The sequence below is a fragment of the Homo sapiens genome, chromosome 6 (assembly GCF_000001405.40).
Source record: "Homo sapiens chromosome 6, GRCh38.p14 Primary Assembly".
In the NCBI taxonomy this organism is placed as follows: Eukaryota; Metazoa; Chordata; class Mammalia; order Primates; family Hominidae; genus Homo; species Homo sapiens.
Genome location: NC_000006.12, coordinates 154,346,844 through 154,374,780, shown reverse-complemented (window position 1 = coordinate 154,374,780; position 27,937 = coordinate 154,346,844). Strand labels below are relative to the sequence as shown.

At 41.3% G+C, this 27,937-nt stretch overlaps 1 protein-coding gene and 1 long non-coding RNA gene across 8 annotated transcripts in view; both read left to right on the top strand.

Annotated features, from left to right (window-relative positions):
- Positions 1-2,067: 2,067 nt before the first annotated feature.
- Positions 2,068-14,888, top strand: LOC105378067 (uncharacterized). 2 transcript variants are annotated; one of them, XR_007059823.1, is made up of 3 exons: positions 2,068-3,535; positions 11,800-12,703; positions 13,117-14,888. It is a non-coding gene; the product is annotated as an uncharacterized LOC105378067 (long non-coding RNA). The 2 variants fall into 2 exon arrangements; XR_943131.3 differs by lacking the exon at positions 2,068-3,535 and having other exon boundaries at positions 10,264-12,703; positions 13,117-13,176; positions 13,848-14,888.
- A 3,089-nt stretch (positions 14,889-17,977) lies between these two features.
- IPCEF1 (interaction protein for cytohesin exchange factors 1) overlaps positions 17,978-27,937 on the top strand; it is a 202,308-nt gene continuing 192,348 nt past the window's right edge. For 3 of the 6 annotated variants that reach the window (NM_015553.3, NM_001130700.2, NM_001394799.1), the window contains exon 1: positions 17,978-18,109. The gene's annotated coding sequence lies outside the window, so the exon portion shown is untranslated. Of the gene's footprint in view, positions 18,110-19,640; positions 19,715-27,937 lie in introns of those variants that run through there. The other 3 variants (NM_001394802.1, NM_001394800.1, NM_001394801.1) reach the window with 1 other exon arrangement.

The following is a 27,937-nucleotide window of genomic DNA, read 5'->3' as shown; positions in this document are numbered from 1 at the left end:
GCTTGGGTGTGTTTCGTGAGCATAGGCATGTACCTGTTTCCTTCCCTCAGAATAGAGTAGCCCAGAGGTATCTGAGGATGAAAGCAGGGAGTCTTCAGAAACATGCTCTGGTATTTTTTTCTCTTTGAAATGCAGAAGTTAGAGCAAAAGTCAAATATGTAAAAACAAAACAAAACAAACAACAACAACAAAAAAACAGGGCTATATTGACCCATCGTGAGGATGTTGATGATAAGGAAGGAGGAACTCTTTTTTTTTTCTTTTCAACTTTTATTTTAGGATCGGGGGTTACATGTACAGGTTTGTTACAAAGGTATATTGCCTGATGCTGATATTTGGGGTAGGACTGAACCTGTCACTTGGTTAGTGAGCCCATAGAACCCAATAGGTAGTTTTTCAGCCTTGCCCTTCTCCCCATCCTGTTCTTGTGTTCTCCAGTGTCTATTGTTCCCATCTTTATGTTCATGTGTCTAGCTCCCATTTATAAAGGCAAATAGGTAGAATTTGATTTTCTGTTTCTATGTTAGTTCACTTAGGACAGTGGCCTTCAGCTGCATCCAAGTTGCTGCAAAAGGACATTATTTTGTTCTTTTCATGGCTGTATGGTATTCCATGGTGTTCTTTTGTAAGGCTGTATAGTATTCCATAGGTTTTTAAAAATCCATTCCACTGTTGATGGGCACTGGGTTGATTCCACGTTTTTGTCATTGTGAATGGTGCTGTGATGAACATATGGGTGCATGTGTCCTTTTGGTAGGATGACTTGATTTTATTTGGGTAAATAGCCAGTAATGGGATTTCTGTCAAACGGTAGTTCAATTCTTAGTTCTCTCTTTTTTTTTTAAGTGTAAGCAAGTTTATTAGAGAAGTAAAGAAATAAAAAAATGGCTACTACCTAGGCAGAGCCACGAATTCTTAGTTCTTTGAGAAATCTCCCAACTGCTCTTCACAGTGGCTGGACAAATTGACATTCCCACCAACAGTGTGTAAGTTTCCCCCTTTCTCTGCAGCCTCACCAGCATCTCTTGTCTTCTAACAAAATAGCTTTTTAACAAAGACATTTCTGACTGGTATGATATGGTATCGCATTGTGTTTTTGTTTTGTTTTGTTTTTGTTTTTGAGACGGGGTCTTGCTCTGTCACCTAGGCTGGAGTGCAGTGGCATGATCTCGGCTAACTGCAACCCCTGCCTTCCAGGTTCAAGTGATTTTCCTGCCTCAGCCTCCCCGGTAGCTGGGATTGCAGGTGCATGCTACCACGCTGGGCTAAATTTTTGTACTTTTAGTAGAGATGGGGTTTCACCATGTTGGCCAGGCTGGTCTCGAACTCCTGACCTCAAGTGATCCGCCCCCCTCAGCCTCCCAAAGTGCTGGGATCACAGGCATGAGCCACTGTGCCCGGCCTCATGGTGGTTTTGATTTGTATTTCTCTGACAATTAGTGATGGTGAGTGTTTTTTCCTATGTTGGCCACATGTATGTCTTCTTTTGAGAGGTGTCCATGTTCTTTGCTCACTTTTTAATGGAGTTATTTGTTTTTTGCTTGTTAATTTAAGTTCCTTATAGATTCTGGATGTTAGATCTTTGTTGGATGCATAGTTTGCAAATACTTTCTACCATTCTGTAGGTTGTCTGTTTACTCCTTTGATAGTTTCTCTTGCTGTGCGGAAGCTCTTTATTTTAATTAGGTCCCACTTCGCAATTTTTGTTTTTGTTGTAATCGGTTTTGAGGACTTAGCTATATAAATTCTTTGGCGAGGCTGATATTGAAAAGAATATTTCCTAGGTTTTCTTCTAGGATTTTTATAATTTGAGGTCTTACATTTAAGTGGGAGGAACTTTTCTAAGTGAGACTTCATTAAAGACTGAGTCTCGCCCTGTCGCCCAGGCTGGAGTGCAGTGGCATGATCATAGTTCACTGCAGCCTTGAACTCCTGGGCTCAAGCGATACTCCCACCTCAGCCCCCTGAGTAGCTGGGAATACAGGTGCTCACCACCATGACTCGCTCATTTTTAAAATTATTGTAGAGACAAGGTCTCGCTATGTTGCCCAGGCTGGTCTTGAACACCTGCCCTCAAGTGATCCTCTTGCCTCGGCCTTCCAAAGTGCTTGGATTACAGGCATGAGCCACCACAGCTGTTCAGCAATTACTGACAGTTAACTGAGAGTTAAATTACTTTAAGTCCTGGGTTTTTTTTGTTTTTTGTTTTTTGTGGTTTTTTTGGCCATACTTGTAGGGGGTGCAGGGGGCGGGGCGTTCCAGGCTCCAGTCCCTTTCGGGGTATGGCCTTCTCTTTCTTCTCTGCTGTCTGGCTGATGCAGCCTGCATGAACCATGAACTTGACTAGTTTGGTTCTGACTCTCAATTTTTATTTCAATTATCATTAACTTATAAAAATCTTCCCCCTTATTTGAGTAAGAGATGTCATGTCAAAAAAAAAAAAAAAGTCGCAGCTACATTTTAGCTCATTTCAATCTTTGCTGCTACCTGGATTTCCTGGCTTCTTGACAACCCATATTTAGCACATATTGAGGCTGTAATTGCATAATCATGGAAAGGTCATAGGTGAACTTTTTGTGCTTCAGAAATTTCCTGAATTACTAGCTGTGTCTCAAAAGGAATTGACAACTTGCATTTTTAGCAAGTATTACAATTTGAATATACCACAATATTATTATAAACAATTAAAAATCCTAAGTAAGTCCAAACAAGAGAGTAGCAAAGACACAAAAGATAATAGGCAGGACCTGTGTAAAAGGGAAAATGAATGATGTTACCATTATGATGCTATGACCATTAGTTCGGTCAGTATTTTATAAGGTGTATATTAGCAGTTTGTAAAGAACTGCTGTTCTGGTATTCTGGTATTCCCAAGTAGCTTAGAGAGGCTATTCTACAGCTATTTCTTCAAGAATGACAGTTTCCAGCCTGTCTTTTTAAATGTCAGAAGAAGTGTCTGATGTAAAGTAGGAATTAGGATATGAGAATCAGAGTCACGTAGAGTTTCTCAAACAAGACCTCTAAGTCTTAAGCAAGAATCGGCATATCAGTTTTACAGATGGAAACATCGTAAGAGCCGTTTGTTTATACTCGGCATAATTAGAGATAATTACGTGTTTAACAATCTTTTAAGCTCATCCTCTGGTTTGTAAGGAACAGAGACTCATGTTAATTACCCAGAAAAAGGAGGCATATTGCTAAGCCACATAAACTAGAACAAGAGCAGAAATGGCATCAGAATGAATTGTGCAACCCAGCTCTCTACTTCTCTCTGACATGGACATCTCCGATTCCCCCTCCTCTTTACTTCTATCCCTAACCCCAACGCCTGATACAGGCACAGAAAACAGCAGTCAAACTAATGTCAATATATGATGTGCTATATTTGCTATCTGAAACAAATATGTACATTGCTTTCTGGTTTTTGTGTGTGACTTGATTAGGCTAAGTCGGCATCCCTGTGGACAGAAAATCCCAAGGCAGAGACAAAATAGAGTTTCTGTGCCTGCAAGGATGGGCCTGCCCCTGGACTGTGGTGAGTTTACACTCTGACACCAAATAAGTTATCCTTCTTGGCAGCTACTGGCCTTTCAGGCTGCACCAAGACAGACAGCACATCATTTTGTTCAAACTCCTGTGTCAGGGAGGCATCTATACATGCCCGTTATATGTGGTTAAATTTTAAAAATATGTTTTAGTTCTTAAAGACATCATCTTGAGTTACTTTGAAAATGACCTTCCCAAATGTCATACCCCTTTGACTGTCAATAAACAAGGCAACACTGTGTCTGTAAAGTTGAAATGGAAAGAAGCAGAAGGAAAAAATAACGAATTTCTATGGTGAAGCTCACAAGTATTTTTACTTCATTTTTCCTGCTTAGATATAAAAATCCTGTTAATTACTCCTCTAAACCTCAGCTCCTTGCTGTTCTGATGTGGGTCTTGGATACATTCCATAGCGTTCCTTATGCATCGGAGGCTGGAACAGAACAAATGAATGGAAGAAACTGTTGTGTCCTTGTGCTTCCGGGCTCCAATGATAACATTTGCCACTTGGTGGCAGTGATCGGTTTAGTCCAGGCTGAGGAGTTCATGTATTTCCTCTGTGATGTGCCTTTTAATCTTAGAAAGCTATTATTATAAATATGATTCATGTGTATTATACATGAATTAATTTGCCAGATAAATGGGCTTTCTTACAAAACTACCCACAGGTAGTGGGTGAAGTCCAATCAAAATAGTCCCTCACAAACGAGAACTGAAGTAGATCAAAGATAATAGGATCCGTTTTTTTTCAAATCAGTGTCTATTATCACCAATTCTGTTCAATAAATGTTTCAGCAAATATTTCTAACGGTGCTGTGCTTGGCTCCCAGGGAGTGATAGATTTGCTTTTTAAAGAGATTGCACAGCCTCTTGGAGGGAGGGGTGGGGGAAATTCACTTGGAGGTGGGGAAACTACCCAGGATGCTATTGCAATTCTGCCAAAAATGAGGCCTGAAGGTGAAGTGAGGCGGCAGGATGGGAAGAAGGAGAGGAGTCTGAGAAATATTAGATAGTTATGGTGATACATCTTGGTGATTTATTTGTGAGGAAAGTAAAGGATCTGGAAAAATCTAGTGTCTCCTCTGCTTTGACTCCATTGATATGAACTGAGCTAGGGATTTGGAAACATTATCTTGTCTTACATTCTGGGGCTTGACGATATCCAGCTACTCATGGACTGTCCAAGCAGGTAAGTATTATGAACTATTAGAATTAGGTAAGGGGAGAAAGTCTGCCCTGGTAGAGTGCTTGTAGGCCGAATAATGCCCCCCTCTACCACCCTGGGAAGATGTCCACATTCTAGAACCTGTGACGATGTTATTTTACATGGCAAAAGGGATGTTGCAGATGGAGAGACTATCCTGGCCTATCCCAGTGGGTCCAGTGTACTCACAAGGGTCCCTGTAAGAGGGAGGTGGGAACATCAGGGTCACAGGAGGAGATGTGACAGGCAATGGAAGCAGAGACCGGAGTGATACGGTGCCATCGGCCATGGCATGCGTGCGGGTAGCTTCTAGAAACTGGAAAAAACAAGGAAATGGATTCTCTCCTGCTACCTCCAGGAGCACAGCCTTGCCAGCCCATTTTAGACTTTGACTTCCAGAATGGTAAAATAATAAATCTGTGATGTTTTAAGCCATTGGTTCCCAACCTTTTTGGCATCAGCAACTAATTTCGTGGAAGACTATTTTTCCACAGACGAGGGTGGAGGAGATGGTTTTGGGAAGGTCGGTCTCATTACATTTATTGTGCACTTTATTTCTATTATTGTTACATTATAATATATAATGAGATAATTATACAACTTGCCATAAAGTAGAATCAGTGGGAGCCACGAGCTTGTTTTCGTGCAACTAGATAGTCCCATCTGGGGGTGATGGGAGACAGCGACAGATCATCAGGCATCAGATTCTCATAAGGAGCGTGCAACCTGGATCCCTCACATGCGCAGTTCACAATAGGGTTCTTGAACCTATGAGAATCGAATGCCGCCACTGATCTGACAGGAGGTGGAGCTGAGGTGGTAATGCCAGCGATGGGAAGCGGCTGTAAATACAGATGAAACTTCGCTGGCTCACCCGCTGCTCGCCTCCTGCTGTGACACCCTGTTCTAACAGGCCAGGGACCAATACCGGTTCGTGGCCCAGAGGTTGGGGATGCCTGTTTGAAGCCACTAAGTTTGCAGTAATTTGTTGGAAGAGCAATAGGAAATTAATACATATCCATTTACATCTTTTTCACTTCTTCCATCTTTACCGTTTCAATAATATTTATGAAGTGCCTACTATGTGCTATGCATTGTGAGATACCTTATGAACAAGATACTGACTCTCACTTCTAGCAGTTTACAGTGTAGGTGGAATTATAATCATGGAAATACCTCAATTTACAATATAGTAAATTGCTGGAACTGTAGAAATTGAAGGAGCTGTGAATAATTCCTCTTTACTTTTTGATGAATCTTTGATCTATAACACTTTGACTTCCTGTTAAACTAACCCTAGCTGCTAGTAACATCTTGAAAATCTGACAAATCATCTATACTGGAAACGCCATTCCAGATACGTACTTGAAAATATTTTCAGCACCTACTTCATTTACCTGTTTCCGATTCTTTGATCATCCAGTTTGTGCAAGTCTCTTCTTACCGTGCCTAAAGGATGATTCATGTTTGCAGGTTCCTGAAGTGCCTGGCTGGTGGCATTTGTGGTCTAGAAGGTGCAGGGAAGCTGATCCTCTTCTTAGGCCCTGTCAATGTGCACGCTCACTTGATGGTTCCCTGGGAGTGCCAGTCTACAACAAGCACAATCTTGTCTGGAAACGTAGATGCTGGGGAGAGAGTGCTTAGCAGAACCGCACTACATGTTGTAAGAAGGGATACACTAGGAGAAGCCTGTATGAGTGACAGATGAGATCCCTGCTGGCCAAAAGGCTGCTTCACTAACAAATTACAGCCTGACTCAGGGCTCATAGGTGTTGGTTGGGTCTTTACATCACCAGCAGAATCTTAGCTCAGTGATATCCTCAAGACCAAGGGAGGTAAAAACAGTCCAGATATTGCGCACCCCTGACATGGGGGTGGTCTTCTGATCATCTCCGAGTAAGGCTTGATTCAGAAATGGTAAAACAAGGATCTTACCCAACAGTATTGCACACTCTCTGGGATTTATTAGCCAACAGGTCAATGTTATGCAACAATCCATGCTAAAATTGCTCCAGTTACTATCTCATTTACTGAAACAGAAAGTGACTCTTTTAAACTTTGGCATTCTTGGGAATAGAGATACATTAGGCTGATACAATAACCCAGTGATATCAGAATGGAGCTGTTGTTTTTCCTAATAAGTGTATGAGGGGCAAAACATAGAGGAACACAGAGGAGGAAAGACTAAAATTTGTACTCTAGTCTTTAATTTTGGAAAATATAACGAATTCAAACAACATTCCTTGGCCATAACGTGCCATACATACTTTGCACCTGGAGGTTTAAAGTTTAAAAGAAAAGAAAGTCCTTGCCTTTGAGAATCTTGTTCCTTTTAACAAAAAGAATATTTCTGCATAGAGGAATGATAGAATGTTAGCAAAATACGTGATGTTCAGAATGCTTTTTCTTCAAGGAGGCTGGCATCCTACGCAACTCACTTTCATACTCCTGAGCTGAACACTGGGGTGAGTCTCAGCCTAGCCCTCAGCTGCCCTTACGTTTTAATTCTCACTTCCTGCTCCTTCATGTTAGCGTCAATTTTCAGCCAATGGTTCTCAGTGCTTCCCTTTCCATCATCAAATATATTTTGAAACACCCTCTTTACTATTTTGAAATAAAATTCATAAATAATATAATCTGCCGACATACAAACCAAACAACAACAACAACAATATAGTGAGATATAGTAATTTGGCTGAAAGCACGAGGCCTGGAGCCGGCCTGGCCAGGTTTGAATCCAGCCTCTGCCGTTTACTACCCATAGGATCTCAGGCAAGTGACCTCTCTGTGCCTTACTTTTCTCATCTCTGAAAAGGGGGTAACAATAGTACCTGCCTCATAGAGTTATTGAGAAGATAGGTAAGCAATATGCACAGCTTTTAGAATGTGTCTGGCACATAATATGCATTCTATATCCATTAGCTCTTACTGCTCTGAATAAAATACAAGGACAGGCTGGGCACGGTGGCTCACGCCTGTAATCCCAGCGCTTTGGGAGGCCGAAGCAGATGGATTACCTGAGGTCAGGAGTTCAACACCAGCCTGGCCAACATGGTGAATCCCCCAATTTACTAAAAATACAAAAATTAGCCGGGCGTGGTGGCGGGCACCTGTAATCCCAGCTACTTGGGAGGCTGAGGCAGGAGAATTGCTTGAACCCCAAAGGTGGAGGTTGCAGTGAGCTGAGACCATGCCATTGCACTGCAGCCTGGGCAACAAGAGCAAAACTCTGCCTCAAAAAAAAGAAATATATATATATATATGTGTGCGTGTGTGTGTGTATTTATATATATAGGAGAAATAAAAGTCATTTAGTAATAAAATAATATCTACAGTATTTTAATGTATAAATGCTTAGGCATGACCACACTAGGAAAACAAATGAAATAGTCAGACTCTAATTTATAATGCATAAGTTTTGATTTAAGGCTAAGATAATATTCAACTAAACATTGGTGATACTTCTAAAAATTATTGGCCAGGCGCGGTGGCTCACGCCTGTAATCCCAGCACTTTGGGAGGCTGAGGTGGGTGGATCATGAGGTCAGGAGACCGAGACCATTCTGGCTAACACGGTGAAACCCTGTCTCTACTAAAAACACAAAAAAATTAGCTGGGCGTGGGGGTGGGCGCCTGTAGTCCCAGCTACTCGGGAGGCTGAGGCAGGAGAATGGCATGAACCTGGGAGGCGGAGCTTGCAGTGAGCCAAGATCAGGACACTGCACTCCAGCCTGGGCGACGGAGACAGAGTGAGACTCCATCTCAAAAAAATAAAATAAAATAAAATAAAAGTAAAAAAAAAATTTAGCATTTGAGGTAACATTTAACTAACCGTATTCATATGTACATGTCAAATCACAGCAAATGTGACAACTACTATCATGCAGATTGTTACAAGACTCATACTATAATCAGGGCTATCATGCTAATGTGATTTCTGAAATGGTCAACAATTCTTTGTAAATTGCCAAACAAAACAAATTTACAAGATACATTTTAAACTATGAAAGTAGCATTCCTGGAACAATGTATATATAGTAAAACGATGCAAAAAGACTTTGTTTCTAGAGTCAGTTAAACCTTCCATACTATTCATATTACGCCTGACCCTTGAATCATATGGGTTTGAACTGTATGGCTCCCGTTAGAGGCAGATTTTTTTTCTGTGAAAGTTACACTGAGTGTGCCTTCCTCTCCTGTCTCCCTTTCATTTTCTCAGCACTTCCACCTCTGCCACCCTGAGACAGCAAGACCAACTCCTCTTCCTTTTCAGCTTATTCAATGAGAAGATGATGAAGATGAAGACTGTTATGATAATCCATTTCCATGTAATGGATAGTAAATACATTTTCTCTTTCTTATGATTTTCTTTTTTTTTTTTTGAGACGGAGTCTCGATCTGTCGCCCAGGCTGGAGTGCAGTGGCGCGATCTCGGCTCACTGCAAGCTCCGCCTCCCGGGTTCACGCCATTCTCCTGCCTCAGCCTCCCGAGTAGCTGGGACTACAGGCGCCCGCTACCACGCCCGGCTAATTTTTTGTATTTTTAGTAGAGACGGGGTTTCACCTTGTTAGCCAGGATGGTCTCGATCTCCTGACCTCGTGATCCGCCCGCCTCGGCCTTCCAAAGTGCTGGGATATGATTTTCTTAATGACATTTTCTTTTCTCTAGTTTACTTTATTGCAAGAATACAGTGTATTATACATGAAACATACAGAATATGTGTTAATTGACTGTTCACATTATCTATAAGGCTTCTGGTAAACAGTAGGCTATTAGCAGTTAAGTTTTTGGGGAGTCAAAAGTTACATGTGGATTTTCAACTACTCAGGGGATCAGTGCTTCTAACCGCCATGTTGTTCAAGGGCCAACTGAATACAGGTATCTGGCCGGATGTTAGAAGTTATGTGGGACATAGGATAATTCTTTGTTATGAAGGACTGCCCTTTGTTTTGAGGGGAATCAAACGCCCTTCACCACTACCACCATCACCACCCACCCATCCTACCCCCTGCAAATGCCAGGAACAACTCTCAATCTCTGTGACAAACAAAATCCCACCAAAATCTCTAAAATGCCCATTAGGAGGCTGTGCCAGCTCAGCAAGAACCACTGAGCTGATCGTCAACCAGCTGATCTGAGCCTCTATTCAGGTTAGCGGTTGTCATCTCCTGCTCCTTCTCCCCCTGTCAGTATCTCGTCTGTGCTTCAAGATCAGGGTCTATGCTGTGTCCTCCATGAAGGACAGCCTGCCAGATTCTCTTCTTCCATCCCCGACCTCTCAGGGTCCTTCTTTTTCTTTTTCTTTTTCTTTCTTTTTTTTTTTTTTTTTTTTTTTTTGAGATAGAGTCTCGTTCTTTTGCCCAGGCTGGAGAACAGTGGCGCGATCTCGGCTCACTGCAACCTCCGCCTCCCAGGTTCAAGCAACTCTCTGCCTCAGCCTCCCGAGTAGCTGGGATTACAGGTGCCTGCCAACACGCCTGGCTAATTTTTGTATTTTTAGTAGAGATGGGGTTTCACCATCTTGGCCAGGCTGGTCTTGAACTCCTGACCTCGTGATCCACCCGCCTCGGCCTCTCTCAGGATCCTTCTACGCAGCATCAGGCACACAGCGTTTGTCACACACTGCCCCTCCTAGTCTGCTTGGTTGTCTACACTCTCCTCCTTTCCTAGATGCAAAGCCCCCAGATTTTAGCACATGTTCCATAGATATATCCAAGAGTAAATAAAGCAGGGCAGGGTTTTTATACCTGATTAGTGGGAAAGATGAGAAAATGTTTCAGACATAAATTTGAGATGATATTACATGTGTTGGAGACTATAAATTTTTCAAGAAAATCTTGAATACTGATATATTTTCATGTATAACATTAAAATTTTCACTTTGCTGATTTATAGTGGCTGAGGCTCAGAAAGCTGTTTGAGTTATTTGTCTACATGTCTTACCACCGTCATCCCAAATCAGTAACAGCTGTGTGTTATGTGTTCAAAGTGTGAACTTAAAATGATTCGTCTGCTTTGGGGATGGGGATGTTTCTGTCTAAACTAAAGGGATCTGACAAATTCATATTCGTTAAAGTTCAATAGTGAAGCTTAAAGGCCACCTCTCCCAGAGAGACTGGCGGTGCAACAGAAGGAAATGCCTTAAAAAAGCAAGACTAAAACTGTAATTATGGCATTTCAGGCATCAGAGAAAGTCAGAGATGGTTTAGGGACGGTGTGAGAGAGGCTCCCAATAGCCTACAAACCATAGCTTTTCTGAGAGATGGATTATGTCCTTGGATCTTGGAGTATAAAATTACAGCCCTCACAAGAAAAATATAGATAAGTATCAGTTAGGGAAGATGGTCATTTTAGTGAGGGCCCTGTACTAGATCATGAGGATACAAATCTCAAAAATGATGCATCCTTGCTCTCAGAGAGCTGACAGTCCAGCTAGAGAGGCAAACTTAAAAACAGGATGGCTCCATAATTTGTGGGATCCAGTTCAAAATGAAAATAGGGGACCTCTTATTCATAAATTATTCAACATTTCAAAAGAGTGACTGCAGAGCATTAAACTAAGCACAGGGCCCTTCTAAGGACCGGGACCTTGAGAATGCATGTCGCATGCCCTGATTCACCATCATTATAATAACACAGGACAATGTGCACTGGAGACATGCACGGGATGCTGGGAGAACAAGGAGGGAGGGGCTAAATCTGAGGGATGGGGAACACTTCACTGAGGAAGTAACATCCTAACATCAGGGCTAAACCTTGAAGGGTGGACCAACTTTTGCTAAACAGGGACAATTGGAGATCCCGGGGGTCTCCAGGGAGGGGGAACTAAGAGGAAAGCCACCTTCTCCTGCTGCAGCTGTCTCCACTCCAAGCTGATCACACAGATCTTGTGTGTTATAATTAACTCCCTGGTTAGTGCTCGTCAGTTACTTGGGTAACTTTTAAAATAATATGGTCCCACTTGTTTCTTGTTTGTGGAGAATCTCAATCAATCCTCAAATTGTAAGTTGGCTCTCAAACCTCTCTTTCCACCTCTCATGTCCCCCAGGGCTCTCCAAAGAAACTTTCCAGATGAAGAGAAATGCTCCATGTCTGTGCTGTGCAAGATGGGAGCTTCTGGACACCAGTGGCTACTGAGCACTCGAACTGTGGCTGGTGCAACCAAGGAACCGAAATTTTTTTTACTTAATTTTTATTTTACTTAATTTTTTTTACTTAATTTTTATTTTACTTTATTCTAATTAGCTAAAGCTTAATTTTTAGTAGCTAGTGGCTGCCATCAGAGTCCAGCATACTTTAACATTTATATTGTCTTAATCTTTTCTCTTTTTTTTTCTTTAAAATATACACAGAGACAGTGTCTCCCTTTGTTGCCCATTCTTGGCTTGAACTCCTGGGCTAAAGCAGTCCTCTTGCCTCAGCCTCCCAAAGATGGGATTACGGGTGCGAGCCACCACACTCTGCCACTTACAGTATCTTCTTGTTTTACATGTTTTCTCCAGATCTTGATCCTCAAAATTGAAAATCAGTTGTGAGTATTGCATTATTATGCCTGTAAAAATTATCCTTAACTTCACAAGCCGAACAGTATAGAGTAATTCCATTCTGTTCCTTTACTGCTTTTATTGTTATTTCTTGATGTTTTCTAATTGTTTTTCTATTTTTCTTTCTTTGGCTGCGCTGCCCATATTGGTTACTCCATAATTTCAGGGGTGGTATCACGCTCTGTGATTCCATTTTCCCCTGAATACTTTGCTTTTGGAAACTTTTCCTCTCTTACCGAGCTCCATGCTGATGTTTGCTGTGTGGTTCAGCTGCCTGATTCCCATCCAAGGATTTCCCTTTGCAACGCTCCCAGGTTGAGTCTTCTGTTTCCCGGATTCCACCACTTCCATTTTTTAGTTTACTCCCTTATTTTGCTGGGGTCCATCATCAAGTAACTTCCTAAGAAGGTATGTGGAGGCTGGGTGCAGTGGCTCATGCCTGTAATCCCAGCACTTTGGGAGGCCGAGATGGGGGGATCACTAAAGGTTGGGAGTGCGAGACCAGCCTGGCTAACATGGTAATACCCTGTCTCTACTAAAAATACAAAAATTAGCCAGGCGTGATGGCAGGCGCCTGTAATCTCAGCTACTTGGGAGGCTGAGGCAGGAGAATCGCTGAACCTGGGGGGCAAAGGTTGCAGTGAGGTGAGATCATGCCACTGCACTCCAGCCTGGGCAACAGAGCAAGACTCTGTCTCAAAAAATAAAAATTAAAAAAAAAAAAAGAAAGGATTTGTGGGCAGTCAGCCTTCTGAGTCAGCTCTGATATATCTGAAAACGGGCATGTTCTACCTTCACACCTAATTGATGGTTTCATTCAGGGATCAGCAACCTACTTTCCACGGGCCGCTTTTGGCTTGCTGCCTATTTTTGCACAGCTGGTAAGTTATGACAGTTTTTTACATTTTTAGGTGCTTAAAAAAATCAAAAGAAGAAGATTTTGTGATGCGTGAAAATTATAGGCAGTTCAAATGTTAGTGGCCCTAGATAAAGTTTTATTAGAGCACAGCTGCTCTTTTACATGTTATCTATGGCTGCTTTGATACCACAATGGCAGGGTTGAGTAATTGAACAGAGATTGGCCCACGAAATCTAAAATATTTACTATCTGGCCTGTTCCAGAAATAGTTTGTCAGCTCCTGGTTTAGTTGGTCAGAGTCAAAAACCCAAGTTCTCACAACGATCCCCATAGGACCTAACCATAATCATGGGTTCCCCGGCTCCCCTCTCCATCTCTGACCCGCTCTGCTCTGTTCCAGCCACACCTGCCCCCATGCTGTTCCTGCGGCACCAAAAGGCTCTGGGGGTGGCAGGATGTTTGCATTTGGGGCTCTGTCTGCGGATTTCTCTTCCCTTAGCTGTCTACACAGCTCACGCCTTCACTTCCTCCAGGCTGTCACTCAGAGGTCACCTTTGTGAGTCCTTTGCTGGCCTCCCCATCTAATTTTTAGCCTCTCCTTAGACTCTATATATTTCCTCTGCTGATTTATTTTTCCTCCTTAGCACTTACTTCTACCTAACACATTATATTTTACTTTCTTTGTTTGTGTAGAGAGTACACCATCCTGATCTGAGCATGAGAAAAGAAGTTCCCTGAGGGCAGGACTTTATTTGGTTCACTGCTGCGTCCTCACTGCCTAGACACAGTGCTCAAAAATATTTGCTGAATGCTATGGCTAGGCTTTGTGTCCCCACCCAAACCTCGTCTTGAATTGTAATCCCCATAATCTCCATGTGTCAAGGGAGACACCAGGTAGAGGAAATTGAATCATGGGGGTGGTTTCCCCCATGCTGTTCTTGTGAGAGTGAGTTCTCATGAGATCTGATGGTTTTATAAGGGGCTCTTACCCCATTACTCAGCACTTCTCTTTCCTGCCACCTTGTGAAGAAGGCGCCTTGCTTCCCTTCACCTTCCACTGTGATTGTAAGTTTCCTGAGGCCTCCCTAGCCATGCTGAATTAAACCTCTTTAATTTATAAGAGTCAATTAAACCTCTTTCCTTTAGAAATTACCCAGTCTCTGGCAGTTCTTTATGGCAGTATGAAAATGGACTAATACACTGGATGAATGAACACAAAATTCTAGAGTGAAATATAAATCCTTCAGAACTTTGAAGGCTGTGCTCGCTGACCTTCTAACCCTTAATGCTACTTCTGTGAAATCTGGAGCCCTTTGATTCCTTGTTTCTGTGAAAGTGACTTATTTTCTGTGTTTGGGAGATTTTAAGATTTTCTCTTTATTTCCGGAGTTTGGAAATTTTGCAGTGACTTGAAATTCTTCATCCTAGGCACTCGATGAGACTTTTTAATCTAAATATTCTTGGACTTCAGGGGGATCCTTTATGTTATTTCTTTGACTATGTCATCAAATAATATTTCCTGAAAATTTCACTTGAATTTATCACCCAACCTATCAAAATCTTTATTTAACAATTATATTTGCAATATCCAAGGGGTCTTTCTTGTTTTCAGATTATCTATCTTTCTTAGCATCCTGTTCTTTTTAATGGATACAATATCTTCAGGACTGTCTCTAAGGATACTGATTAGAAGCATATCTAGGCCAGGCGTGGTGACTCATGCCTGTAATCCCATCACTTTGGGAGGCCAAGGTGCACAGATCACCTGAGGTCAGGAGTTTGAGACCAGTCTGGCCGGCATGGTGAAACACTGTCTCTACTAAAAATACAAAACATAGCTGGGTGTGGTGGCACATATCTGTAATCCTGGCTACTCAGGAGGCTGAGGCAGGAGAATCACTTGAACCCTGGAGGCGGAGGTTGCAGTGAGCCGAGATAATTAATGCCACTGCACTCCAGCCTGGGTGACAGAGCAAGACTCTGTCTCAAAAAAAAAAAAAAAAAAAAAAGCACATCATCCATCATCCAGCACATGCTAGATGAGGCTCTTATTGCCAGAATGTGGAGTTCTGACTGTGGAGTGCTCATATCCACATACAATGCCTGTATTCTCTGCATGATTTCACTATGTGTAGAGACGAATCCTCGGTATGCTGCCCGGGGTTGGAATTGTGTGTGTTTGCTGTGCAGAGGCTGGGCGGACAGAGAGATTTGAAAGAGGGGTATGGGAGGGGCTGAGTTCTTACAGACTTTGAATTACTCTTCCTGTTTTCAGTCCTGTCACCCTATCACTCATTTAGCTCTCTTAGCTTCTTTTGGCTTGAGTTCCGGTCCTCTCAGGGATTCAGCACCGCACACGGGCAATTTCCTCCAACGCCGTGTTCTCCTAACTAATGAGATATTGTGGTTCCCCTGCCTGCCTCCATCTGTTATTGCTCCTCCATCGGCTTTCAGGCTGCCAGAAATCTGTTGTGCTCTCCCAAGTTCTGATGCTTTTCCTCCTTTTTTGGGTTATTGTGGGTTTATATCTTTTTTTTTCTTTTGAGACGGAATCTCGCTCTGTCACCCAGGCTGGAGTGCAGTGGCGCGATCTCAGGTCACTGCAACCTCCGCCTCCCAGGTTCAAACGATTCTCCTGCCTCAGCCTTCTGAGAAGCTGGGATTACAGGCTCGTGCCACCAGGCGTGGCTAATTTTTTGTATTTTTAGTAGAGACAGGTTTCACCATGTTAGCCAGGATGGTCTCGATCTCCTGACCTCATGATCTGCCAGCCTGGGGCTCCCAAAGTGTTGGGATTACAGGTGTGAGCCACCGTGCCCGGCCCTATAAACTTTTTATACTTTTCTCATTTTAACGGAGTCTTTGGGGAGGGAGGGAGCAAATCTGTGGTCAGCCCGTCATCTTGAACTGACAGTCCGGCCGTTTTGAGGATTATTCTAATTCTACAAATCATCTTTGCTCAAAGAATTTAAGTGGCTCTATTCTGGCCCCATAAAGGTAAATAACATGTCTTTTGAGGATATCTTTGATGATGGCATCTAAATGTCTGGTGAGAAGCCAGGCCATGCTGTTGATACCACTAAATTCCTTTAATATCACCTAGTACCATTTTTTTTTCTACGTAAAGCAGGGAACTAGAAGACAACTCAATATAGGGAGAAGATGAGGCAGCACTTCCAGAAATAGAAGTGTACACAAACAAGAAGCCGCTGAGAGAACCTTCATTTTGTTCCTGCTCAAAATGTACAGCATCTTCTTTCATTTTTTCACTCCTCCACAGATTTAGTTTACATTTTATCTTTGTCTTAGTCATTCAGGCTGTTATATCAAAACACCGTAGCCTGGGTGGCTTACAAACAAAAGACATTTATTTCTCACAGTTCTGGAGGCTGGACATCCAAGATCAAGGCGCCAGCAGATTCATTGTCTGGTGAGGACCTGCTTCCTCGTTCCTAGGTGACTGTCTTCTGGCCATGTCCTCATATGGTGGAGGGGTGGGCAGATCTCCAGGTTCTCTTTAATAAGAAAATTAATACCATTCATGAGGGCACTGTCCTCATGACCTAATCACTCCCCAAAGGTCCACCTCTAAATACAATCACATTGGGGATTAGGTTTCTATATATTCTATATATTCTATATATATATATATATATATATATATATATTTTATATATATATTATATATATATATTTTATATATATATTATATATATATATTTTATATATATATTATATATATATATTTTATATATATATATATTTTATATATATATTTTATATATATATTATATATATTATATATATTTTATATATATATTATATATATTATATATATTTTATATATATAATATATATATTTTATATATTATATATATATAATATATATAATATATATATTATATATATAATATATATATAATATATATATTATATATAATATATATATAATATATATATAATATATATATTATATATATATATTATATATATATATACACATACATATTTATTTATTTATTTATTTTGAGTTGGAGTCTTGCTCTGTCTCCTAGTCTGGAGTTCAGTGGTGCGATCTCGGCTCACTGCAACCTCTGCCTCCCAGGTTCAAGCAATTCTCCTGCCTCAGCCTCCTGAGTGGTTGGGATTACAGGCATCTGCCACCACGCCCAGCTGTATTCATTTCCCTAGAAGGTATAGAGAAACAAGAAGCTGGTGTTGAAAGGGAGATTGGGAGGGCAGGAATTTGTAATGAGATGGAATATCTCTGACTTTCAGCCTGCCATTTTCCTTTTCCAATGTGGGAAAGAAAAGTTTTGTGGTTAGAGACTCTTCTATGTCTACTGCAAAAGATGGCAGGCTAAGACTTATTTTTATCCTAAAATACGTTTTACAAATGTGTCTGTACCCTCTCTTTATTAGAGCATTATGAACGATTAGGAAAGGAGGAAAGAGGGAAATCTGAAAGAAGATTGAACCTAAAGAGGTTGAAGTGGCATTTCACCCAAAAATGCTGAGAATGACTCTGCAGATCATCTCACCCTCCATGCCTGTAAATGAACATCCTTGCCTCCAAAACAGGAAAGCAGAACCATGAACTGTTCCACCAATGTGCTCGGCAAATGAATACACTGGGCAGTGCTTAGTGATCAATGAACTCAGGCAGATGGGGTGTGCTTGCCTTACATGTACTGTGTCCTGGATATGGGCATCAAGGAAGGGTTTCATAACAATGAGAAGGAAGAACGTTAGGATTGAGGAAGTGGAGATGATACTTCCTCTTCTTTCGAAAGAGCTTTACTCTCTGATCAGCTTTGAATGTTAGTTCTGGGTTGACTGAGTTTCCAGAGCTGAGGCTGCTTTAAGTAGAATCCTCAAGCTTGGCCTCAGAGTACTATGAGGCTTCTGAATCCAGGAATAAGACTGCTCTTGGATTTACTCTCTTTGTATTGCATGTAAGTAACGTCACTTCTTGGCTGATGTATGAGAGGTAACTGCTTGACAGATCAAGATGGCAAAGCAATGGATACCCTAGCACTCTCCTTAGAGTAGTGAGGTAGGAAATATGACTTTGGGGATGTAATATTCACTCAGCTCTCTGTAATCTGGGAAGCCAGGTGCTAAAGATTCTTTAATTCTGTGAAAGCTTTGAAAGAGGAGAGAGTTGTGTACTCACTCTGCTTTTATGTTTCTTAAATGGGTGTTGTCTTGATAGGTGTTTAGACTGCAGACCACAGGTTTGATTTAGAAAAGCACAATTCAGCATGTATTTGGGTCCTGAGGAGTTCATTTGGGGAAGCACTCTGGGGCCGCCCTCTTTCGAGAAAGTGTGTTCTTTGCAAGGGAGCTTCCTTTGCATGGAGGCAGCTGGGGGACATTTTACACTTTGATAAAGGTCTCAGGCTTGCCAAAATATCTCTGGTATAAAAATGAAAGCTAGGTGTTGTTGGTTCAGAGTCTTTTAGTAAGGGTGTCTGGGGCACTTGATTTTTCTTTGCTGGGGTATATGTGAAAGTATTTAATTATAGAAGTCAGAATTATAACCCACTGAAGCATCTTTGACTACAGCAGTGGGCTCTATTAGTCTTGAGTGGCCTATGTGTTCCTAGTGCTGTCCTTGATAAAGTCTAATTTCTATCGAGTTATTTATTTTATGTAGAAAATTGAAACCGAGGGCTGGGCACAATGGCTCACACCTGTAATCCCAGTACTTTGGGTGACCACGGCGAGAGGATCACTTGAGGTCAGGAGTTTGAGACCAGCCTGGGGGCAAAATAATGAGACCTCATCTCTACAGGAAGAAAAAAAAAAAGAAAGAAAAGAAAATAGAAAATAGAATGCCGGGTGCGGTGGCTCACGCTTGTAATCCCAGCACTTTGGGAGCCCAAGGCGGGTGGATCATCTGAGGTCAGGAGTTCGAGACCAGCCTGGCCAACATGATGAAACCCCGTCTCTACTAAAAATACAAAAATTAACTGGGCGTGGGAGCATGCACCTGTAATCCCAGCTACCTGGGAAGCTGAGGCAGGAGAATTGCTTGAACCCGGGAAGCGGAGGTTGCAGTGAGCTGAGATTGCGCCACTGCACTTCAGCCTGGGTGACAGAGCAAGAGTTCATCTCAAAAAAAAAAAAGAAAGAAAGAAAGAAAAGAAACAGAAATGGAAAGAACACACATTTCTTTCTGCTCACATCATGCAAGCAAGGAAGAAAAGGGTGTAAGTTTGTGTATGTGTTGATGAACTCATTCTTTAATTTACCTTATAATTTCCTTCCATTCCTCTTTTTATAAATCAAGTGTCTTTTCTGGAGTGGGTCCATGTATGAACTATTTCAGGCAAGCTGTGTTAAGCAAATATACATCATCAGAGTATGGAAATAGGAAGTTCTTTCCTGCGGTAGTTTGCTGTGGCAATAAGAGATAAGAAATTACTTCATCACTATTGCCTGAGACTTTCCTTTTGACTCGTGCATCCTTTTGAACAGCTCACTTCTGCTTTCCATCCAGCTTGGAGGCTCTGCAGTGTGAGCTGATAATTGCAGTACAGGTTAACAATTTGCAAGTAGGTCTAATGTGGCAAATGGTGTGTGTGTGTGTGTGTGTGTGTGTGTGTGTGTGTGTGTGTGTGTGTGAAGAAAAATCCTAAAAAATAAGCTTTTTAGCCTTAAAGAGAATCCTGCAAATGGAGGAGTTACTTGTGCTCCCAAGTGCTCAGAACAGTGCCTGCTCTCAGTAAATATTTGTTGAATGAATGAATAACTGGCATAATTCATAAAATGAATGTGGTAGGAAAGCCATTGCTTTATCTCTGTTACTCAGGCACTTTAAAAAGTGAATGTTAGAAAAGATCAGAGTGGAGGAGGAGAGGAGAATATGAAGGTGTGGAGTAAAGAAAGGGTGTGTAGAACGGGGATCAGAAAAATCCCCAGGTCAGTAAAGTGAAAGGGTTGGCGATACATGGTGGTGGAGGTGGAGGTGGAGATAAAGGGGGTGGTGTTGGAAGTGGTGGTCGTAGGGGAGGTGATGGTGGAAGTGACGGTGGAGATGGTAGAGGTGGTTGTGGAGGCGATGGTGGAGGTGGTAATGGAGATGGTAGAAATGGTGATTGGAGTGGTAGAGGTGATGGTGGAAGTGACGGTAGAGATGGTGGAGGTGGTTGTGGAGGAGATGGTGGAGGTGGTGGTGGAGGAGATGGTGGAGGTGGTGGTGGAGGTGGTGGTGGAGATGGTGGTTGGAGGTGACGGTGGAGGTGACAGATGGTAGAAGTGATGGTAGACATGGTGGAGATGGTTGAGGAAGTGATGGTAGAGGTGATGGTACAGATGGCGGAGATGGTGGTTGGAGGTGATGGTAGTAGAGGTAATGGTGGAGGTAATCATGGGAAGGTCAGTATAATTTAGCCAAGAGAAAACACAGTTGGGGGCTCAGACATATCTGTTCAAAATCTATATCTCTGAACCTACCAGCTCTGTGACCTCCGAACCTATAAAGTGGTGACTATAACATATTGACTTTTTGGGTTGTTGTGTGAGGGTTAAAAATATGATTGCATTAAATGGCAGTTATCGATATCAGTTTTCAAGTTGCCAGAGCCACGCTTAAAAATTTAATCTCTAATTTCTCTTTTTTTCTTTATGCTTTGTGCATTTTCTGAATTTTGTAAAGTGAAAGTGAGTTTTTAAAAGAATCATTAATTTAAAATAAATATGATAAGCCTAGTTATCAGAATGGTTGAACACATGGTGGTATATAAAGAAATGTCATCAAGAAAATGATATTTATGGAAATAGTCTCATGATGTAATGCTAAGTCCAAAAAGGAGGAACATAACTTTTTCAACTATGTAAAAATACTGCAGAGAAGCAAGATTTGGGTGAAATGCATTAAAATGTTAATATATGAGTAGTGGGCTTATAGCTCGTGGTTCTTCTTTCTTTGTACTTTGTACTCTATTTTCTTCCCAGATTTTTCATTAGTGGAACATACCTGAACTATTTTAATAATCTGAAAATAAAACAAACGTTGAAAGAAAGTAAATAGGCCCGGGTGCGGTGGCTCTCATGCCTGTAATCCCAGGACTTTGGGAGGCCAAGGCGGGCGGATCACCTGAGGTCAGGAGTTCCAAACCACTCTGGCCAACATGGCGAAACCCTGTTTCTACCAAAAATACAAAAATTAGCTGGGCATGGTGCGGGCGCACGTAATCCCAGCTACTCAAGAGGCTGAGGCACAAGAACCACTTGAATCCGGGAGGCGCAGTGAGCCGAGATCACGCAGCTGCACTCCAGCCTGGGCAATGAGGGAGACTTCATCTCAAAAAAAAAAAAAAAAAAAAGGAAAAGGAAAAGAAAAGAAATGGACAAAAATGTAACCCTCCTTAAATCTTCCACCAACAGGACGACAAAAGCAATGTTTTAGTGATAGTGTGCTGAAGTTCATGGTTCATTGCAGTCTAAGAAATGACACTTAAAATTTATGTTATTTAGTCTTTGTAGGGAAATCCCCTTTGAGAGTAAGGCTGGTGCAGAATCATGTGTCAACTCTGAAGTGAGAAAAAGGAAACGTGGTCCCACTGGGGCTGGCTGGTCTGATTAATTCCTAGAATGACATGAAAATGGGTTATTTTCTCTGGATGACTTATAACTGCGTCTAAACCTGAGTTTGATGATTTCCTAAAAAATGCAATAGTCAATTTGTCAGTTATTAATTATAAGTTAAATTTAAATCTCCCAATATAATTGTTAATACATTTCTTAGGGAATGTTGCCATATGTTTATCATCTTGGTACTCATAGGGAGAGGTCATAAAAACATTTCTATAGAGTCACAGATTATTTTATAGATTCAAGAATTATCATTCCTGTTGTTAGAATCTTGGCCCTGCCGTCTCACAGGGCCAGCAGGTCACCATGGAGTCCCTTATCAGGGACGTAACCAAAATAAAATATTTTGGCTTGTAGGCATTGAAAAGAATCTTCTGTCTTTGTCTTAGAATCAATCTTTGTCTTAGAAAGGAGAGATAGTCGGCAGACAAAAAGGCAAAGGGCTGAACAAATGTGAGCAAAGACAGGTCTCCCAGACTGACACAGGGATTGACATAGAAGCAGCTGAAAGGTGAAAAGTGAGCCAGCTTAAACTCAGCCCAAAGTTACTAGAATGTGGATGAGTCTTTCAAAAGAAGTCTGAATAAAAAAATGACCAGATCGTCAAGGAAAACTAAGTCAAGTTAGAAATGAAAGAATTAATTGAAGAAACAAAAACCCAGCATGCACTAAGCATTGAAATAGAAACAGCAGCAAGATAGGATTCCCAACAGATTCTATAGCATTTTCTGAATATTTCATACGTGGAATGCTGAATAAAAAACCAATGATATTACTGAGCACTTGCTAGGTTCTAGACACTGTGATCTGCACTTTTATTTTTACCTTTTAGTTTACATTTACATTTAGTTACATTTACAATTTCTTTTTTTTTTTCTTCAACTTTTACTTTACGTTCCAGTGTGCATGTGCAGGATATGCAGGTTTGTTACATAGGTAAATGTGTGCCATGGTGGTTTGCTGCATAGATCAACTCATCACCTAGGTGTGAAGCCCAGCATCCATTAGCTTATTCTTCCTGATGCTCTCCCTCTCCCCCGGCCCTCACAGGCCTCAGTGTGTGTTTTTCCGCTCCCTATGTCCATGTGTTCTCATTGTTCAGCTCCCACTTGTAAGTGAGAACATGCGGTATTTGGTTTCTTGTTCCTGCGTTAGTTTGCTGAGGATAATGGCTTCCAGCTCCATCCATGTCCCTGCAAAGGACATGATCTTGTTCCTTTTTATGCTATTTAAGCCACTTCTTAAAACAGTTCTGGGAAATAGTACTATTGTTATCTCCATGAAATTGAAGCTTAGAGAGGTAAAGTCCCCTGCCTCAAACCACCACAATAGGCAGGGGAGAGGGATTCAAACCCAGACCTTTGTGTCTCTGAGCCTGTGGTCTACCATTCTACACATTACATTGTTTTCATTTATGTTAAAGGTTTTGTTATATAAATAGTGATTTGACACCAAGGGCGAGTCTGAGCAGAGCAGATTTGCTCTCTACTTTAAAATCGCCCAAGTGAAATTCTTTTCTATTCCTTAGTGAAGAGATAGTGGAAAGGAGTTGTTCTTTTTTCCAGGAAACTGCCTGTGCCTTGACATGATTGCACATCCGTGATTGTCTTCTTAGGCAGTCAGGTGGTACCACGTAGGAAATGCTTCCAGCCAGCAGGGAACAAAAGGGGACTGGGGGGACCTCAGAACCATTCCTGGGTAGTTCACAACCACAGTCAAGATATGTGACTGTTCCGTCACCACAAAGATCCCTCATGCTGCTCTTTCATAACAATACCCAATCTAATTTTAAAATATTCAATTTCCATTTTGAGTATCATTGGACCCATATTGATGGGGCCTTCTATTAGGCTCAATTTTTTAGCGGGAACACCGCAGATCAAAAGGCTAGGAGACTTGAGTGTCCTGCCTGTAGTATATGATAGTTTTGCGCTACAAGCAAGCATTTAACTTCTCCACGCTTGAGTTGTCTCATCTATAAAAGCTGAGATAAAAATACCAAACCAGGCCAGGTGGGGTGGTTGATGCCTGTAATCCTAGCACTTTGGGAAGCGGAGTTGGGAGGATCGCTTGATGCCAGGAGTTGAAGACCCACTGGGCAATAAAGCAAGATCCCATCTCTACAAAAACAAAAAAATGTGGCCAGGTGTGGTGATGTGTGCCTGTAATCCCAGCTACTCAGGAGGCTGAGGCAGAAGGATCTCTTGAGCATAGGAGTTTGAAGCTGCAGTGAGCTATGATTGTGCCACTGGTGTACAGCCTGGGCAGCAGAGTAAGACTCTGTCTCTGAAAAAATAAAAAAACTAACCAATTGCGTTGATGTATGGGCCAAATGAAAGTAAGCGTATATACTTAGAAGAAAACAAAAATATTATAAACCAATGGAGCCCTTCTTGGAAGCTAATACAGGAGGTAAAGAATGAAAGTAATTTTATGTGCTAGTAATAAGCCCATCTGTATTGCTGGCAAGCACTTCTAGGGGCCAAATTGGACGTGACTCATTTCTATGAAGTTAACTTGTGGCATTGGGCCTCAAACAGTAGAGTCACTTCATCATTGAATGGGAGTGAATAAAGACACTCTCAACAATGAGACACATTTACAAAATGAAAATCAGGCTATTGTGAAATCTATAAAAGATTTTCTTTCATAAATGGAGTCTAGATAGTGATCCCAGATTATCATGACAATTTGGTTACTTGTTAGATATGGAACATCAGCGTCTATTTGGGGGGGATATTTATTTACCTCAGTTTGTATTGAAATAAAAGTTCAAATATTCTGAAAATGATGCAATGTGATGGAACTTTGATCCAAATATAAAATCTAAGGCTGCAATTTAAGTGTACAGCAAGTGGAAACTTCTCAATAAATGGATGTTAGATCATTTTAGTGGTTCATCTGTAATCGTTGATCACTTTGATCCATAAATTTAGGCTGGTACCTGCATAAGTACTTTAATGACAGCATAAATAGCCAGGATTTCAAGCATATTCTTGAGTTTCCCTGTGACATAAGAATCTCTTAAATCCCCTTTTCAGCAGAATTTGAATTACCCTAATTCCTATTACATGATTATCCCCAGCAGAACAACATTCTTTTAACAGGTAAATATCATTATAGGAAGCTAATACATTTAATCTATGTAAAACTAAAAATATCTTTTTTCTCCTCCTCTTAATTGATCCATATTTAATTTTCTTTAGACTTGTTAATTTTATATAATCTTTTTCTAACTATGCAGTAGAAATCTGTGACTGGATAGATTTTTTCAAATTTGGACAGGGTAGAAGTTCTTTTTTTCCTGACTATTGTGAAGGAAACTGCATTCTTCAGAGTTTTATGCACTGATCTGTAACGCCAGAGAGGAATAGAACATTTAACTACTTATAGGCAAATGTACATATATTAATAGAGACTGAACCTTAGTCTAAAACAGGAAAATAGGCCAGGCACAGTGGCTCATGCCTATAATCCCAGCACTTTGGGAGTCTGAGGTGTGAGGATCACTTGAAATCAGGAATTTGACCCAGCACTTTGGGAGGCTGAGGTGGAAAGATCACTTGAGCTCAGGAGTTTGAGAACAGCCCAAGCAACGTATAGCAAGACCTCGTCTGTACTAAAATAAATAAATAAATAAAATAAAATAAAATAAAATAAAATAAAATTAGTTAAGTGTGGTAGAGCATGCCTGTAGTCTCAGCTACTCAGGAGATGGAGGCAGGAGGATCACTTGAGCCTGGGAGATTGAGGTTGCAGTAGGCAATGATCGCACCACTGCATTCATTCCAGGGTGACTGAGAGTGACCCTGTCTCAATAATAATAATAATAATAATAATAAGATAAAATAATACAAACCTCTGAGAAAGGAAAAAAGATGAAACCAACTCAAAACATTTCCCAGGAACCTTAATTTAACATTATTCACTCCTAAAGAATATAATTCTTTGTAAAGTGTCACAGTTTATCCAGAGATAAGCTGTACTTTATACAAAGTTATGTTTGAAGGAGAAAACCTTTAATTATTTGAAAAACTAAGCAAACGGCTGTAAACATGAAAACCATGCATTTTAGGCTACTTGTTTATGATTATTCTGTTTGAATAGCTCAGACTACAGCACACTATTGGATAAATCTGTAATAGTTTTATGGACTGATGAGAATATATATAATCTCATCCATTTCTTGAACATGTTTGAAGATTCTACTATTCTAATAGATTAAATGGTTGTTGCAGGAACGTTGCTGTTTATTCGCTGGGAGTGCAAGTCATTTGTAACAACTTTGTTCTTTCCACCGATTAAAAGCCTGAAGCAAATGATATTAAAGACCTTATTTTCTGGTTCCTTGTTAAGGCACAAATCCCAACCTCTTTTTCCATCCTGACAAAAAATAGTCAAGCAGTTGTTCTTACTAGTGGTTGTGAATGCTGACCATATAATATGATAAGGACCCACTTACGAATATTCAACCTTCACCAAATACTTATTGAGTACCTAATATTTTCCACGTAATGTGCCAGGTATTTCACTGCAATTAAATGGACAAGATCACCTTTGAAATTCCCCTGGAATCGTGTGAATTAGTATTGCCTCTTGGTTAGACTCAGTTATAGCCAGTCTATCAAAGAGAAGTGCCTGAACTTGAACTCTCTTGGTCAAATACACTCACAGTTTTCCAGCTAGAGCTGGATTTTACTCTGGAACACAGCTACCAGAGTTTTCCACACTTGGATTTTCAACTTGATTAATCAACTAGAGCAGCTTTTGCGTAGGTAATGGGGACTTGAGGGAGGGACTGTGGAGCAAGGTTTGAGCCAGGCACTCGAGTACTATTCAGTTTTATTTTGTGAACACTCACAAACATTCCAAAGTTATGTACAAATTAGTTGCCTTGAGAGGAACGCTGGAGTCCCAGATATTCTGAGCTGAGAAGCCAGCACGGGGAGAGAGACACCGAGTCACCAAAACACAGTAAGTGGGCTGAGCAATGAAGGCTCAGCGACTCCTGATTGCCTTGAAGTGACTTTGCTTTCAAGTTGGCATTAGCTGTAGTCACAGGGTCCTAGACATGGGGTGTAGTAATTTCCACCGGGCATTGCATCCTCTTTGTGTTCTGTGCATTGGGAGCAAGTTAGCAAGCGATCCCTCTGTCAATCTCAATGGACTTCAGGCATTGAGCACCAAACCACTGTCCACTCCCCACGAGCTCACGTTTCCTATCATTGTGGAGGTGGCCTTTTGCCAATGGATGGATGCTCCTGGCCTATGAAATATTCTAGGCAATGCCTGGAACTTTCTGGGCAGTAGGAGCCACTGAGGTGAGCCTTAGAGCAAGGCAGAAAATAGAGTCCAAGAGGACCCCTTCTTTCTATAGGCTGGTGAAAAAGTAGTCTTTAATGGCAAAACCTGCAACTACTTTTGCACCAACCTGATAATTGCAGCTTTTCCAACAGGCCATGCAGGGCTTCCCCAGCCCCACTGGCTGTGTGGCACATGGAGGTAACATGTACTGTCCTCTTGCTGTCTGCAAGGGACGGTGTTAAAGGCTTTACATTCATTATCTAATTTTTTAATCAAATAGCTCTAGGAAGTGCTGTTATTATTAACTAGTTCCCTTTCTCTGATGAGAAAACACAGGTTCAGGGAACTTCAAACCTGGCTCAAGGTCACCCAGAAATAGTACAGTCAGGGTTCCAACCCCAGCAGTTTGACTCTGGGGTCAGAATTTGAGCCTAGGCTTATTTGACCTGAGCGTCCAGTATATAGCTGTCCTGAGGGAATATACTATAATATAAGGAAAAGGATGCTACATAATTTCTTATTTTTGGATAAGGTTGCTTTGTGCTTGTCCACCTTTCCATTCCTGGAGCTGAGAATGTGTATAATCCAACCCCAGAGAGGCCAGAGGAAGCCTGTTTGGGTGAATAATGATTTTAGGAGTGCTCAGCCCAGATTTGCCTGAGCCTTGAGGAAAATCTCATTCCCAAAGACACTTCCAGATCAAAGCTGAGGAGAATTGGGGTTGAGGGTGATGGAGCATTTGTTTCTAATAATATAGATTGAAAAGGGGAAGAAAACAGAGATTAAAAAATAGGAAGGCAGAGTTTTGAGAGGATATGCTTGGATAGGGATAGAGTCTGGCCACCCAAATCTTACGTTGAACTGTAATCCAAATTGTA